The sequence below is a fragment of the Homo sapiens genome, chromosome 4 (genome assembly GCF_000001405.40).
Source record: "Homo sapiens chromosome 4, GRCh38.p14 Primary Assembly".
Lineage (NCBI taxonomy): Eukaryota > Metazoa > Chordata > Mammalia > Primates > Hominidae > Homo > Homo sapiens.
In genome coordinates, this window is record NC_000004.12 from 1,325,425 (window position 1) to 1,340,243 (window position 14,819).

At 58.4% G+C, this 14,819-nt stretch overlaps 1 protein-coding gene across 12 annotated transcripts in view, besides 2 other annotated features; it reads left to right on the forward strand.

Moving 5' to 3' along the window:
* The window catches only part of MAEA (macrophage erythroblast attacher, E3 ubiquitin ligase), a 50,247-nt gene extending 35,534 nt beyond the window's left edge, over positions 1 to 14,713 (forward strand). For 5 of the 12 annotated variants that reach the window (NM_001017405.3, NM_005882.5, NM_001297430.2 and 2 more), the window contains 5 exons: positions 2,203 to 2,279; positions 7,333 to 7,441; positions 11,437 to 11,570; positions 12,998 to 13,193; positions 13,650 to 14,713. In NM_001017405.3, coding sequence (NP_001017405.1) covers positions 2,203 to 2,279; positions 7,333 to 7,441; positions 11,437 to 11,570; positions 12,998 to 13,193; positions 13,650 to 13,745 — 612 coding nt within the window. In that variant the 3' untranslated portion in view covers positions 13,746 to 14,713. The other 7 variants (XM_047449493.1, XM_006713850.3, NR_123716.2 and 4 more) reach the window with 6 other exon arrangements.
* Positions 450 to 1,649: an enhancer, noted in NCBI's record as "CDK7 strongly-dependent group 2 enhancer chr4:1319662-1320861 (GRCh37/hg19 assembly coordinates)". NCBI's record gives its function as "activates an origin of replication core promoter dependent on BRD2, BRD4, P300/CBP, MED14 and CDK7 cofactors, with strong dependence on CDK7, by STARR-seq in HCT116 cells {active_cell/tissue: HCT116}" and the evidence as "EXISTENCE:reporter gene assay evidence [ECO:0000049][PMID:35650434]".
* Positions 13,758 to 14,276: an enhancer, noted in NCBI's record as "H3K27ac-H3K4me1 hESC enhancer chr4:1332970-1333488 (GRCh37/hg19 assembly coordinates)". NCBI's record gives its function as "activates a minimal SCP1, AML or CMV promoter by ChIP-STARR-seq in naive H9 embryonic stem cells {active_cell/tissue: H9 hESC(naive)}" and the evidence as "EXISTENCE:reporter gene assay evidence [ECO:0000049][PMID:30033119]".

Here is a 14,819-nt window from a genome sequence, read left to right on the forward strand (position 1 = left end):
AATACCTAAGTTTCACGACATAGACACACTTACATATTAGTGGACCAATTGAAAGTAACCTACTAGAGCAAAAGGTGTTATTGAAAAGCAGGTTTGAGGTGTCTATTGTGTGAAGCGGTAACCTAGAGTGGGCCCAGAGTCCTGCTCTTCTAGAGCACCCCCTCGGCAGCTGCGTCCTGCCTTTAGACAGAGCCCCGGCACTCGCCTGCTCTAGACACGGCAGCCATCAGGCAGCCCCTGGGAGGCAGGTGGGGCCCTGGTGGGGAGCCTCTATCTCTTCCCGCTGGCCCTTCCCTTCCTCTCCTGCCAGGCTGGCTCTGAAGGGAGCGGAGTGCTGACCGAAGTCTGCCTGCTGATTAGTGGGGTGGGGACTCGGGACCCTGGGATGACTTTGTGCCTCTCGGCTGATTTGTACCAAGCCTGGCACTCCCCACCCAGAGCCTGTGCCACTGCTGGGGTCAGAGACAGTCCTCCTGCCCCAGCTTGGAGCAAGCCTGTGAGTTCTGCGTCCAGCCTGTTGACCCGTCTGTCTAGGGACACAGGGTGATGAGGGGCTGAGGGTACAGGGCAGAGGCAGCAGGGCAGGGACCTGAGCCCCTCTGAGCCCCTGGAAGGCAGGTGGCCCCCGGGGGTCTGGGCAGCCCAGTCCTCCCCACACCCACGCGGAGCCACTGCTGTGGGTGCTATGCGTGTCGGGGCAGCAAGGCTGGCAGGCGGGGTGGGCTGGAGCACAGGTGGCTCCTCAGAAAGCTCAGTGGGGAAAGCTCTGGGAAGCGGAAGTGATGAGCTTCAACTTAAATGCAGTGGTCCGGGGTGGATTCATCTGCCACGTGGAGTTTCTGTTCATGCCGTCCTGAGAGCCAGGCCATGTGAACCCAGAGTGACACGCGGCCCCAGCCCAAGACTCGCTCCGTGGTGCCCACGCCTATATCCTGTTTCCGGGGTGAAGCCCTGAGAATGTCCTGAAACCACACGGAAGATCTTACGGTTTAGACGGACATGTCACTTCCGTAGAATCCGCGTCTCATCTTGGATGACTGCGGTCAATGTTGCCGCTGCCCCCACCCCAGCCACAAGTCTCGGCCCACGTTGGACTGAGGTTGCTGAGATTTCAGATTGAGGGTTGGGCTTCCCTTAGGTGCACGTGAGAGGCTCATAGGCAGACACATGTGGGACTTGGTCCTGCAGGAGCTTCCCCCACCCCCGCCCCTGCCTCAGGCATAGTGCCTTCAGCCAGCAGCCCCAACTCGGCCTCTCTCCGTCTTCTACACATCCTGGAAGCGCCCTCCCTTCACGCGAGCCGCCCCTTGGCCTCACAGCCACCTAGGACCTCAGTGTCCCCTGGGCCAGGCCTCCATTCCATGTGCCACCCGCCTGGGGCCTCGGCACCGGCCCCGGCTTCTGCCCGCCATGTTCTCGCCAGGTGTCTGTGCGGTCCCCCGTCCATAACCTCGGTGCAGGCGCTCCCCGCCCTACCGACCTGGGTCCTGCCTGCTGCAAGCTTGCTTCTCTGCCTCATGCCCCTGTGAGGCACCAGCCAGCAACCCCACATGTGGTCCCTGTCTCCTCCCCGCCCTGCCGACCTGGGTCCTGCCTGCTCCAAGCTTGCTTCTCTGCCTCATGCCCCTGTGAGGCACCAGCCAGCAGCCCCACATGTGGTCCCTGTCTCCTCCCCACCCGGGGCATCAGCGCCTCGGGACAGGACTTGCCCACGTTCTCCCAGAACAGCCCCGGGTTCAAGCCAGCACCCAGTCTACATTCGGGATAGTTGGGTCCAGAGGCCCGGTGGGAGTGTAGAGGAAGCAGTGGCCTCAGGGCGGGACCCAGGAAGCTGCTTTGTCCTTGCAGAGGGGTTGGTGCCTTTGCTCCAGCAGCTGCACCTGCTGCTCTGCCCTCCCAGCTGTGCTCCTGGAAGCGCCCTGAGCGCCCTGGCCTTCGGGTTGAAATGCTGGGCGGCTGCACGCCCCACCGCAGCTGCAGGAGCAGGGGGCGGGACTCACATTCAGAACCCAGTGTTCCCTGGAAAGTCTGCTGCAGGTTAAAGTGGCAGCTTCAGCCTCAGCCCTGCCTTCCCCGTGCCTGTGAGAGAGGGGTTCAGAGCTTTGGTTGTGGGGTCTGCTGGTGGACATGCGGGTGCGGCACCCGGGCACCTGGGCTCTGTGGGATGTGCTGTCTAAGCCCTCGTCTTGTCTTTGCCCTCAGAGCTGCCTGGAGTTCAGCCTCAGAATCCAGGAGTTCATTGAACTCATCCGGCAGAATAAGAGACTGGACGCTGTGAGGTAGGCATTGCGGACGTGCGTCTCCTCGAGGGAGGGCAGGATGTTCGGCTGCGGCCCCTGCCAGCCCTCCCTGTCGTGGTCTGGGTCCTGGGACGTCCCCTGGGTCGTCCCCTGGGTCTTGAGTCTGACCCCTGCCTGCTCAGGTGGCTGCTTCTCCCACTGTTCCTGAATGGGACTTGGGGAGTGAGGCCTGGAGCCTGGCAGGGCCCCCGCCAAGGTGTGGCCCCAGGTGGGCATCCAGACCCCCGTGGCTGCCAGGGGAACCAGCTTTGAGGTCCCGACCGTCCACGTAAAACACGTGGATCAGGCTCCCGGCACCCCCTTTCCACATTGGAAAGTGCCGCCAGCCTCAGTAGATGGGAGTGTCTCTGACGTGTGGTCCTCAGGTAGCTCCAAGCGTCCTGAGCTTGGGAATGTCCCTCACAGTCATCGGGGAATGTTGACAGCGTGTGATGAGGGCACTTCTGGGTTCTCCGGCCTGTCTCCGACCCAAGGGCGGCGTGCAGTGAGCTGAGGCCAGCGGCGCCCTGGTGGTCAGGCCTGAGAAGGGGATGCTGGCTGTCACTGTGGCTCAGCCCAGTTGGGGTGCACGGCGTCTGCAAAGGAAGAGAGGCTGTCCGCTGGCTTCCCGCTGGCTCCCCAGAGTGGGCATCGTCAGGCAGCAGTGGTCCCTGGCCTGGGCAGTGTCGGCCAGTTCATGCTCACCCCGTCTCGGGGCAGGGCTGCTCCTTGAGTGCTAGGTCGTCTCACTCACTTTCATGGAGGTTCCTGAGCGGCCAAGCCTTGCGGTGACGCTTGAGTTGCTGTGTGGGGTGTGTGGGCCTGGCTGGCCCTCAGCTCCCGGGCGAGTGCCCAGCAGGTGTGTTTGCCAGGAGGGGGCACCTGTCCATGCCCACAGAAACCCGACCGCGACTCCATATCCACCTGCAGTGGGCCGGGTGGCCGAGTGTTCCACAGAAGGCCCATTTGGAGAAGTGGGCGTCTCACGATGAGGTGCTGAGGGTGGTCCCCAAGACGCACGGCAGAACCGCGGCAAGTCCCTGCCCTTGCGTGGACCCTGGAGAGGCCCGGGGTCCTGCTCCGGCTCCTGATGCTGACCTGGGCGCATGGTGGCAGGTCAGGCCTCGTCTTCACGCACGAGGGAGCCAGGCCTGCAACGAGGTCCCTTCTGTGCCTGAGAGGGCTAAAGCGGGGATCTCGGGACCCGGGCCAGTGGAGAGTGGCGTGTGAGCATTGCGGGGACACGGCCAGGGGCCCCCTGTCAAGAGGAGGGGCTCCCGCTCTGCTCTGGCCTCCGTGTGGCCTCGGTGCCTGTGTCGCTGGCCTCTGTCCGGCGGCAGTCTGCTTCCATCCCGAGTCAGCCTCCGTCTCCTTGAGGGCCCCGGCCACTGTCAGCCCTGGAGTCTGAAAACAAAACGTGTCCATCCCGGAGTCCCTCCGTCACAGATGTCTTCATCTAGGTGGCAGCTGGTTCCGCATAGGGTCTGTTGACCTGTTACCCCCACTCCGCATAGGGTCTATTTGCCTGTGTTACCCTGGCTCCGTGTAGGGTCTGTTTACCTGTGTTCCCCCCGCTCCGCGTAGGGTCTCTTTGCCTGTGTTCCCCCCGCTCCGTGTAGGGTCTCTTTGCCTTGTTCCCCCTGCTCTGGGTAGAATCTGCCCTAGAGACTCGCGGGGCCTCCACCTCATAATGTCTGAGCCGAGCTCAGAGCTGTGCCCTCTGCGGCCTCGTCTGTTGCAGGGGAGCAGGCAGGTCCCAGGAAGTGCGTGTCCTTCCTCCCGCAAGCAGACACGTGCTGCCTCGAAGCCTCAGCAGCCAGCCGGGCAGGCATGGCAAACAACACCCCAGTGTCTCGGGGGCAGGCGCAGTGTGAGCTACATCCTCTGCTGGGGCCGTCTTGGGAGTGGTTCTCCAGGTGCCAGGGCCTGGTCAGGGAAGTCCGGCCTCAGCTCAGCGTGGCCCTGGAGCCACCCACAAGGCACACGGGAGCTGGGCTGGGGTGGCAGGTGGGGCATCGGCAGGACGTTTGTGGGGTGAGGGAGTGCGGGTGTTTGGCTGGGAGCCCAGAGGGTGTTGTGTATCACTCACTGAGGCTGGACAAGAGGGAAGGCGGAGAAGCCTGGCCACATGTCTCCTGAGGGCTCCAGGCAGGGCCCTCTCACCTGCTGCCAGGGTCCCAGCCCGCAGGAGCTTCCCGTCCACCTCTGAACTCACGGTCCACATGGCGCTGGAGCGTCGGGCACCATCTACAGGGCTTGAGGCCAGCAGCCTAGCCTCTGGGTCCACTGGGGCAGGCAAGGTGAGTCCTGCTGTCTGTGGAGCCAGCGTGCTGGGCCGGGCAGGGGGCCTCGTTGGCTGGGGTGGCTGCAGCTCCGCCCTGCCTGGGGCATTTGTGGGTTTTTGCGAAATGCAAAAGTATGAGCTGCTAGTGATTAACTTTTAACGCCTTTAATTTTTAGTAAATGAGTAAGTGAATCCCTGACCCCAGGCGGCTGGGACCTGGCCTGTACTTCATGGGCTTTGTGTGAGCAGCTCCGTGCCGTCTGTCGCACACCCACACCTCAGCCTGGCCAGGCACAGTTTAGGAATTTTGTCTTCTGGGTGTTTCTCTCTCTCTCTCTTTCCGTGTGTGTGTGTGTGTGTTTTGAGGTTGAGTTTTGCTCTGTTGCCTGGCACAATCTCAGCTCACCGCAACCTCCGCCTCCCGGGTTCAAGTGATTGTCCTGCCTCAGCCTCTGAGTAGCTGGGATTACAGGCGCCCACCACCACGCCCGGCTAATTTTTGTATTTTTAGTAGAGATGGGGTTTCACCATGTTGGCCAGGCTGGTCTCAAACTCCTGACCTTGTGATCCGCCCACCTTGGCCTCCCAAAGTGCTGGGATTACAGGCGTGAGCCACCGTGCCTGGCCCGTGTGTTTATATTTTTAAAGAAAAATGGAAGTTTTTGTGTTTCTTATGTTAGCTGCATTTAGTTTGTTAAAAGTCACGGTTTTGTTTCCCCTGTGTCCTGTGGATGCATACCGTGCTGTTCTCCCCGGACCTGCTCTGAGGGCCCCACATCTCGGCTGCAGTTCTCTGTGTGTTGGGGCTGAATGCTGGCATCAAACGATCTGAAAAGAGTCAGCCGCCACTGTTAGGTTTTCTGTTTCTGTCTTGGGGTCAGGATTTGTGGATCAGGGACCTGGGGTGCGAGGTGAGGCAGCTTGTTAGGCGGATGATGTCTGTCTGGGGTTTGATTGATGGTGAGATAAGACGCGTAAACCAGGTCATGCAAATGAGATCTTGTAGATGTCAACCACGGAGATTAAATTTCCTCTCTTCAGCAGCTCTGGGAGGAGGTGAGATGCCCGTTGGCCGTGTTCTGTGCACGTCTTGGCGTGTGACGAAGGGTGACTTGTCTCCAGAGATGGAATGAGGGGGTTGGGTGGGGCTCCTCCTGGACTCAGACCCACGCCCACCCACACGCTCCAAGGAGGGGGATGCATGGGCACTGGAATCTCGGATGGCCGTCCCCAGCCCCTGCACACGCACCCTGCGGGGTCAGCCGTGTGGACTCACCCCCGACTCCCAGTCCCTGTATGCACCCTGCGGGGTCGGCCGTGTGGATTCACCCCCGACTCCCAGGCCCTGCACAGGCCCTGGGGCGTCAGCCATGTGGACTCCCCAGGCTGGGTCCCAAGCGTGGACGCCCCCCACTCCCTGCTGCCCCGGGCTCTCCTGGTGGTGCTTCCAACACGTGGTCCCCGTGCTATCCATCAAGGGGCTGCTGGGCCACCTCCTACACTAACTCCAGTCTCTGCGAGACACTGCATCTTCTCCAAGGCCACCGTGAGCGCCTGGCACCTCCTCAGCCCTGTGTTCCTTGGTACATGCCTTGTTCTGGACAGCACAGGGCTGACTCACACATGGGACTTGAGGCCCCTGGTTCTGTGCATTGGGGTCGCTTTGGCAGAGGGGCCCTGAGGGCTGAGAACGTGGGGTGCACAGGGGCCCGTGTGAGGGTCAGGACATGGGGGTGCAGGCCCTCAGGACAGCCAGAGGGACAGTGACCCTGTGTGTGGGGGGGGGCATGAGAATGGGGGCCCTGGGGGTGAGCAGGTGCCCGCTGGTCAGCTTGAAAGGGATCTGTTATGTTCTGCTTTGGTTTCTTGGTTGCCCAGCCTTAGACTGGAGTGGGGTTCTGGCCTGGAGTAGGCCTGTGTGCATCCCGCAGAGTTGGCTCAGGAAAGATCGTGGCTGCATGTGGTGTGTGGCACGCTCAGGGCTGAGAGGGCTGGGCCGGATCTGCAGGGAGTCCAGCCTGTGGGCTGAGGGAGGCTGTTCTTCGGAAGGTTGTGCTGGGCGTCACTGCCAAACAGCAAGGACTGCAGTTGAGAAGACTACACGTTCTTGGTCCGCTGGGGCCACGGGGTCCGTGGGGGCGAGCATCTGGGGAGAGTGGGAATCCTCAGGGTTTGGGTTCCTTGTAAACCAGAATCGCTTTGGAGAGCCCTCGGGGGCAGGTGCCATTTGCAGTTCTGGTGTTTTCCGTGGGTTGTCTGTGTGGCTTGGGTGCCCTGGTCCCCTGGAGGAAGGAGTGTCTGGTAGCTGCTCCTCCAGCCTCTGGTGAGCCGCACCTCCCGCCATCCCAGCCCCACCCAGCAGGTCGGCTTGGAGTGAGGCGATTACTTTGTACCTAGACTCTGACATAAAAGCTGTTAGCTCAGATTTTTCAACTTAAAAATGCAGGCCGGGTGCAGCGGCTCATGCCTATAATCCCAGCACTTTGGGAGGCCGGGGCAGGAAGATGGCTTGAGCCCAGGAGTTGGAGACCAGCCTGGGCAACACAGCGAGAATCTGTCTCTAACAAGATGTTTTTTACATTAGCTAGGTGTGGTGCTGCACATCTGCGGTCTCAGCTTCTCGGGAAGATCGCCTGAGCCTGAGAGTTCGAGGCTACAGTGAGCTGTGACTGTGCCACTGCACTGCAGCCTGGGTGACAGAGTGAAACCCTGTCTCTAAAAGTTAAAATTAAAACGCAAACTTAAATGTGCCAAAATGTTGTTTTTTAGACATGCAAGAAAGCACTTCAGCCAAGCAGAAGGGAGCCAGCTGGACGAGGTGCGCCAGGCCATGGGCATGCTGGCCTTCCCGCCCGACACGCACATCTCCCCGTACAAGGTAGGGCGTGCGTCCCTGGGGTCGGTGTCATGCTGGGGTGGGGATCCAGGGTGTGTCTCTGGTCTGTAGCTGCTTCCACACGTGGGGCGGGACGTGAGGGCCCCATCCCAGCCACACAGCCTGTCCAGCCTGCCAAGACAAGCTTTTCTTGTTTGACTCCCATTTTGCTCATAAGAAATTTGAATCAGGGCTGTGTGTGGTGGCTCACCCCTGGAATCCCAGCACTTTGGGAGGCTGAGGTGGGAGGACTGCTTGAGCCCAGGGGTTTGAGAACAGCCTGGGGAACATAGTGAGACCCCACCTCTACAAAAAAAATTTTTTTGAAAATTAGCTGGGCATAGTAGCACCTGCCTATAGTCCAGCTACCCAGGAGGCTGAGGTGGGAGGATCACTTGAGCCCATAAGGTTGAGGCTGCAGTGAGCCAAGATTGTGCCACTGCACTCCAGCTGGGGTGACAGAGCAGGACCTTGTCTCCAAAAAAAAAAAAAGCAGTTGAGAAAGGTTCAGGAAGCCTTTCAGCCTGGAGCGTTCAGCCGGGGCCCAGCTTCCTTGCCTGTCCCCCTGGTTCTCCTTTCTCTACAGCCCCTGAGTCAGGAGTTAGGCTGCACCGTCTTCCGTGGTTCTTTCTCTTGCTGACGCTTTGTATTTTATCTGTAAATATTGGAGCCTCCGACTCTCCGCGGTCACTGGGGTAGGGTTGGGGGTTCTGCCATCACTAACCAGGCACCCTGTGCTCAGACCTGGCCCCAACCCAGCAGCTGGCTGCTCCTGGGTGAGTGGCTCCACTCTGCACCCGTGCCCACCCCTGCACCCACCCCATGCCCACCGTGTGCTCACCCCCTTGCCCACCCCCATGCCCGTGCTCACCTCTGCACCCACCCCATGCCCACCCCCATGCCCACCTGTGCTCACCCCCATGCCCACTCCCGTGCCCATGTGCCCACCCCTGCACCCACCCCATGCCCACCGTGTGCTCACCCCCCTGCCCACCCCCATGCCCGTGCTCACCTCTGCACCCACCCCATGCCCACCCCCATGCCCACCTGTGCTCACCCCCATGCCCACTCCCGTGCCCATGTGCCCACCCCTGCACCCACCCCCATGCCCGTGTGCTCACCCCTGCACCCATCCCATGCCTACCGTGCTCACCCCCATGCCCACCCCATGCCCACCATGTGCTCACCCCTGCACCCACCCCCATGCCCGTGTGCTCACCCCTGCACCCATCCCATGCCTACCGTGCTCACCCCCATGCCCACCCCATGCCCACCATGTGCTCACCCCTGCATCCACCCCCATGCCCACCCCTGTGCTCATCACACTGGGAACAGTTTCAGTTCCTGGAAAAGGGGGAAGCAGATAAAACCTCCTGGAGTTGACAGTTTGTTCTCTGAGCCTGGCACCAGTCTCTGTCAGAGGCCGGGGTGTTTCCCGGCAGCCCCCACCTGCCACCCTGTAGGGACTGCAAAGCCCTGGGCAGTCCCAGACCTGCTGCCTTCTGAAAGCTGCTGGAAGCTCAGCCTGAATTCTCCTGGTTCTCAGGCGTTTGGGGCATCTCATAATAAATCATCATTAGGTCACGAGGATCTTCAGGGGTGGGGTCTGAGCTTCCCAGACTGTGAGTTGGCACCTTGTTTCTCTCGCTTGCTCTGGAGAGGATTTTGTTAGAAATGCAGGAAAGGCTGACCCATACAGGGGGCTGAGACTTCGGGCCTAGGCCGGGTGGAGCATGCACCTCTCACCGGACGCAGCCCTGCAGTGTGGTAAAGAGGGAGGCAGGCAGTGCCAGCCCCAAGGCTCATCTGTTGCCAGATTCAGGGGGCACAACCGTGTCTCGTGGCAGGAAAATGGGCCCCGTTGCCATGGGTCAGGCAAGAAACAGAAGGAAGCATTTTGTTCAGAGAATGGCAGAAGCCACCAGAAGCCCAGAGGCAACCAGTCCTGGGGAGTGAGGATGCCAGGAGCTGTTCTTCTCAGTGAGGACCTTCTGGACTGTGGGCTTCCTCCCTTGTAGACTTTGATTTTTAGACAAAAATGAGATTTAAAACAGCCTTTAAAAATGTTGGAGTTAAGTGTGGTGTTTACCCTAAACTGAGACTGAGAAGCTTACAGAGACTGATGGGTGACGTCCCCTGATGACCACCTCCCCTCCCTCCAGGTGTGGCCGTCTCCCCCCAAGCTAGAGACTGAGCGGCCTTTCTGGGTTGATGTGAAGGTTTTTCTCTCCTGTGCTCACACACGCTCTCTCTCTTAAGTCTAAACCTGAGGTTATTTAGGGACAGACATTCATCAGGTTTAATTTTCTGTTCTGTGATGCTTTAACCTAACATGGACCGGTTGTTTTCCATTTCATACATGATTTCTCTGAAGTAAGAGTTTTTACACCTAATGCTCTGAGGTGCACTCTGCACTGAGCTGTCCTTCCAGCTGTGTGAGTCTATTTTTTGTCACAGTGCACAGGTTGCACACATTCCAGATCATTCAAGTTGATTCACAAGTGAGTGTAGCAGAGTTAAGTCAGCACCAGCCCTGTGGCATGTTGAAATCAGAGTTAAGTCAGCACTGGCCCCACAGTGTGTTGAAATCAGAGTTAAGTCAGCACTGGCCCCACAGTGTGTTGAAATCACAGAGTTAAGTCAGCACTGGCCCCATGGCGTGTTGAAACCACAGAGTTAAGTCAGCACTGGCCCCACAGTGTGTTGAAATCACAGAGTTAAGTCAGCACTGGCCCCATGGCGTGTTGAAACCACAGAGTTAAGTCAGCTCTGGCCCCCACAGTGTGTTGAAATCACAGAGTTAAGTCAGCACTGGCCCCATGGCGTGTTGAAACCACAGAGTTAAGTCAGCACTGGCCCCACAGTGTGTTGAAATCACAGAGTTAAGTCAACACCTGCCCTGCAGTGTGTTGAAATCACAGAGTTAAGTCAGCACCTGCCCTGCAGTGTGTTGAAATCACAGAGTTAAGTCAGCACCTGCCCTGCAGTGTGTTGAAATCAGAGTTAAGTCAGCACCTGCCCTGCAGTGTGTTGAAATCACAGAGTTAAGTCAGCACCTGCCCTGCAGTGTGTTGAAATCACAGAGTTAAGTCAGCACCTGCCCTGCAGTGTGTTGAAATCAGAGTTAAGTCAGCACCTGCCCTGCAGTGTGTTGAAATCACAGAGTTAAGTCAGCACCTGCCCTGCAGTGTGTTGAAATCACAGAGTTAAGTCAGCACCTGCCCTGCAGTGTGTTGAAATCAGAGTTAAGTCAGCACTCATCCCGCAGCATGTTGAAATCAGGGAGTTAGATCAGCACTGGCCTTGCAGCATGTTGAAATCAGAGAGTTCCAGCACTCGTCCCGCAGAGTGTTGAAATCAGAGTTAAGTCAGCCCTTGTCCTGCAGGTGTTGAAATCAGAGCGTTAAGTCAGCACTGGCCTCACAGCGTGTTGAAATCAGAGACTTAAGTCAGAACTGGCCCCACAGTATTTTGAAATCAGAGAAGTCAGCACTCCCCCGACAGTGTGTTGAAATCAGAGTTAAGTCAGCACTCACCCCACAGCATGTTGAAATCGGAGTTAAGTCAGCACTCACCCCACAGCATGTTAAAATCAGAGTTAAGTCAGCACTCATCCCACAGTGTGTTGAAATCAGAGTTAAGTCAGCACTTGTCCCGCAGCATGTTGAAATCAGAGTTAAGTTCATACTGGCCTCGCAGTGTGTTGAAATCAGAGAGTTAAGTCAGCACTGACCCTGTAGCATGTTGAAATCAGAGTTAAGTCAGCACTCATCCCGCAGCATGTTGAAATCATAGTTAAGTCAGCACTCATCCCACTGTGTGTATCAGTCAACACTTGAGGGAGTTATGCTTTGTGCTGACCCTTAGTGCAAAGTGTGTGGGTCACTGGGGGATGGCTGTGGGCCGATGGCACCTGCTTCACCATGGTCCACGTTTTTAAGCTGTCCCAGGAGCTTCCCTGGGAGCATCCCCAGGACCCTCTGCTCTCTGTCTTCCAGGACCTTCTGGACCCTGCACGGTGGCGGATGCTGATCCAGCAGTTCCGGTACGACAACTACCGACTACACCAGCTGGGAAACAATTCTGTGTTCACCCTCACCCTGCAGGCTGGCCTCTCAGCCATCAAGACACCGTATCCTACCTCCCGTGCGCAGTGCGGTTTGGCCTGGGGTTGGCATCTTTGGTCATATTTTAACACGCTGACCCTGCACCTTGCCACTCTTGTCCTCCCACCACAGACAGCCCCGAGCTCCCGTGTGCTGCACTTGCGTGGTGTCTGGATGGTCGGGGTGGGGCCGTGTTGAGGGGCCTCGGATGCGTCGTGCAGCCTTCACTCTGGGAAGTGGCGCGCTTCCTCTCTCATCATCTCAGAGGCCGCCATGGGCATTGATCTAAAAGCCCGATTTTGATGTGTTCTGGCAGCCGGCAGATTACCATTCAGAATAGTTTTCCCGTGTGATTACCAAGAACCTTGCCTGTGACTGACTCTGTCCCGCCTGTGACTGACTCTGTCCCACCTGTGACCGACTCTGTCTGCCTGTGACTCTGTCCCTGCCTGTGACTGACTCCATCCTGCCTGTGACTCTGTCCCACCTGCGACTCACTGAGTTCCTGCCTGTGACTCACTCGGCTCCCGCCTGCAACGGACTTGGTCCCTGCCTGCGACTCACTGTGGCCCTGCCTGTGACTGAGTCTGTCCCGTTTGTGACTGATTCCTTCCTGTGACTGACTCTGTCCCACCTGCAACTGACTTCTTCCTGCCTGTGACAGACTCTGCCCCTGCCTGCGACTGAGTCTGTCCCTTCCTGCAACTGAGTCCATCCCGCCTGTGACTCTGTCCTCGCCTGTGACTGACTCTGCCCCTGCCCTGTGACTGTCTCACCTGTGACTGACTCCGTCCTGCCTGTGACTCAGCCTCTTACTGACTCTACCCCTGCCTGTGACTGACTCTGCCCTCTCCTGTGACTGACTCTGTCCCCACCTGTGACTGACTCTGTCCCCACCTGTGACTGACTGTCCTCCTGCAACTGACTCTGTCCCCGCCTATGAATGTCTTTCATGTGACCTGCCTCAGGCCCAGAGGGCAGTGAGTGTTTCGCGATTGCTGCTGGTACCTGGCTGTGCCGGGGTATGAATGAGACTCAGGCCCCCTCCCTTGTCCCCTCTTTGTGGAACTCTGGGCGAGAGGGCTGGCGTGCTTGCCCACTGCCTGTTCCTAGGTGCCAGCAGAACGTCCCTGCTGGGTGGCTCTTGTCCTGCCTGGAGAGGTTGCGTGGCCGGGGAGAGGGCGGCGGGCGACGGAGCCACTCTGTGCCTGTGGTCCTGGTGCTGGAGGCCGGGGTGAGAAGGCGCAGGCTTCTTGTCTCCACCGAGGCCTCAGTGGGGCTGTTTAGCTGTCGAGTGCAGCACTTCCTGTGCCTCGAAAGACAGCCCCGTGTAGTCAGCATGGCGCCCACATAGCCAGAAGGGCACGCAGCCCAGGGCAGAGTGGCCACAGGGGGCTGGGCTCACCCCGGCTGCCCTGAGTGGCCCCCAACCCTTCCTTGACCCGATGCTCAGACAGTGCTACAAGGAGGACGGCAGCTCCAAGAGCCCTGACTGCCCTGTGTGCAGCCGCTCCCTGAACAAGCTGGCGCAGCCCCTGCCCATGGCCCACTGTGCCAACTCCCGCCTGGTCTGCAAGATTTCTGGCGACGTGATGAACGAGAACAATCCGCCCATGATGCTGCCCAACGGCTACGTCTACGGCTACAATGTGAGGGGGGCAGGGCAGGGGGGCCAGGCTGGCACGCATCGCCATCGGGACAGGGCTGTGTGGGACGGGCAGGGCAGGGGGGCCAGGCTGGCACGCATCGCCATCGGGACAGGGCTGTGTGGGACGGGCAGGGCGGGGGGCCAGGCTGGCACGCGTCGCCATCGGGACAGGGCTGTGTGGGGCGGGCAGGGCAGCGGGGCCAGGCTGGCACACGTCGCCATTGGGACAGGGCTGTCCTCTCGCCCCACCCTGCCTTAGCTTCGTTCGAAATGGATGAAGGGGTGGGAAGGACAGGCGAGGTGGCCCCGGGATTTCTTTGGCAGGTGTGCCTTCGGGAAGGAACTTTGCCTGAGAGGATGAGTCATTCCCTGGTGGTTCATTGTGGGGATTTTCCATGGAAATCCGTGTGTACGTTGTAGTCGCTTGCCTTAATGCATTCCCGGTTTTATTTTTCAGTCTCTGCTTTCTATCCGTCAAGATGATAAAGTCGTGTGCCCGAGAACCAAAGAAGTCTTCCACTTCTCACAAGCCGAGAAGGTGTACATCATGTAGGCCCCACGTCGTGAAGCGCACGCCTCGGGGACGGGCTGCAGTGGGCGGGGAGGCCACGCCTTCCTCCTGTCCCACGCTCCAGCCTGCCGCGGCGTTTCTGTTTCTTGCGACCAAAGATCCGTGAGCAACGATAAATACTCTTAGGAAGAGAGAAAATAAGGTTTCATAAGTTTGTACTTGAAAACATTTGGATTGGTAGGATTTTGTAACACGTCAACCATTTGATGCTTCTGAAAAGTACTTTCAACTTGCGAAGGAAACTCTTCTTTAAAGACTGACCTAAACACCGAGGGAAACTTAAGAACGTTTAAAATATAGGAGTCCGTGATTTCCCTGTGTTTTCAGTTTCTTTCCTTCTGTGAACGATGAGACTTGGAGAACGGGCTGGTCCTTCACCACTTCCTGTTGGCCCTGGCCTGGCCGGGGAAGGTGGCAGCGGCACCGGACTGACCTGCAGTGACCCGCGATGCCGCGCCACGAGGGACACTTATGGCTTCATTCGAGAGCTGCTGCCAAAACGCCTGGCGCCGCCACCGTCGGGGGCTGGCTTCGAGGACGCCCGCCTGCCTCGCGGGTCGTGTCCGCGGGACTGTGTTCGTACGTGCATAGTTTCGATATCACATCGCGGGGCTGTGTTCGTAGCTGCGTCGTTTCGATATCACACCCTCTGTGTGCCGCCTTACTTCCTGCTTCGAGAATGTATAACGTGGAAATCCACGGGACCAAATTTCTGCAGAGGCCTTGCCGGATGGTTCCATAACTGTAGAGTCTAATTGCTATCCATTACAGAAATTAATCGTTCAGTTGAAAGAAGTACTGATGACTTTTCAAAACAAATGAACCACCGTAGCTGACAGAGAACCGTATCGTAGAGGTTTGTAGTTAGTGCTTATTTTTGCATGTTGATGTTGACTAGCTAATAAACTGTAAATGTAAACCATGCGAATAAAATGGTTTTCTATTTCTCATTTCCGTGTGAGCCGAGGCTGCCGTGCGTTTCTAACACCGAGGTTGTGTTCTGCTCCTCCCCGGGGCCCGGGCAGCATGGCGGGCATATGCGTAGCTTCTGGCACC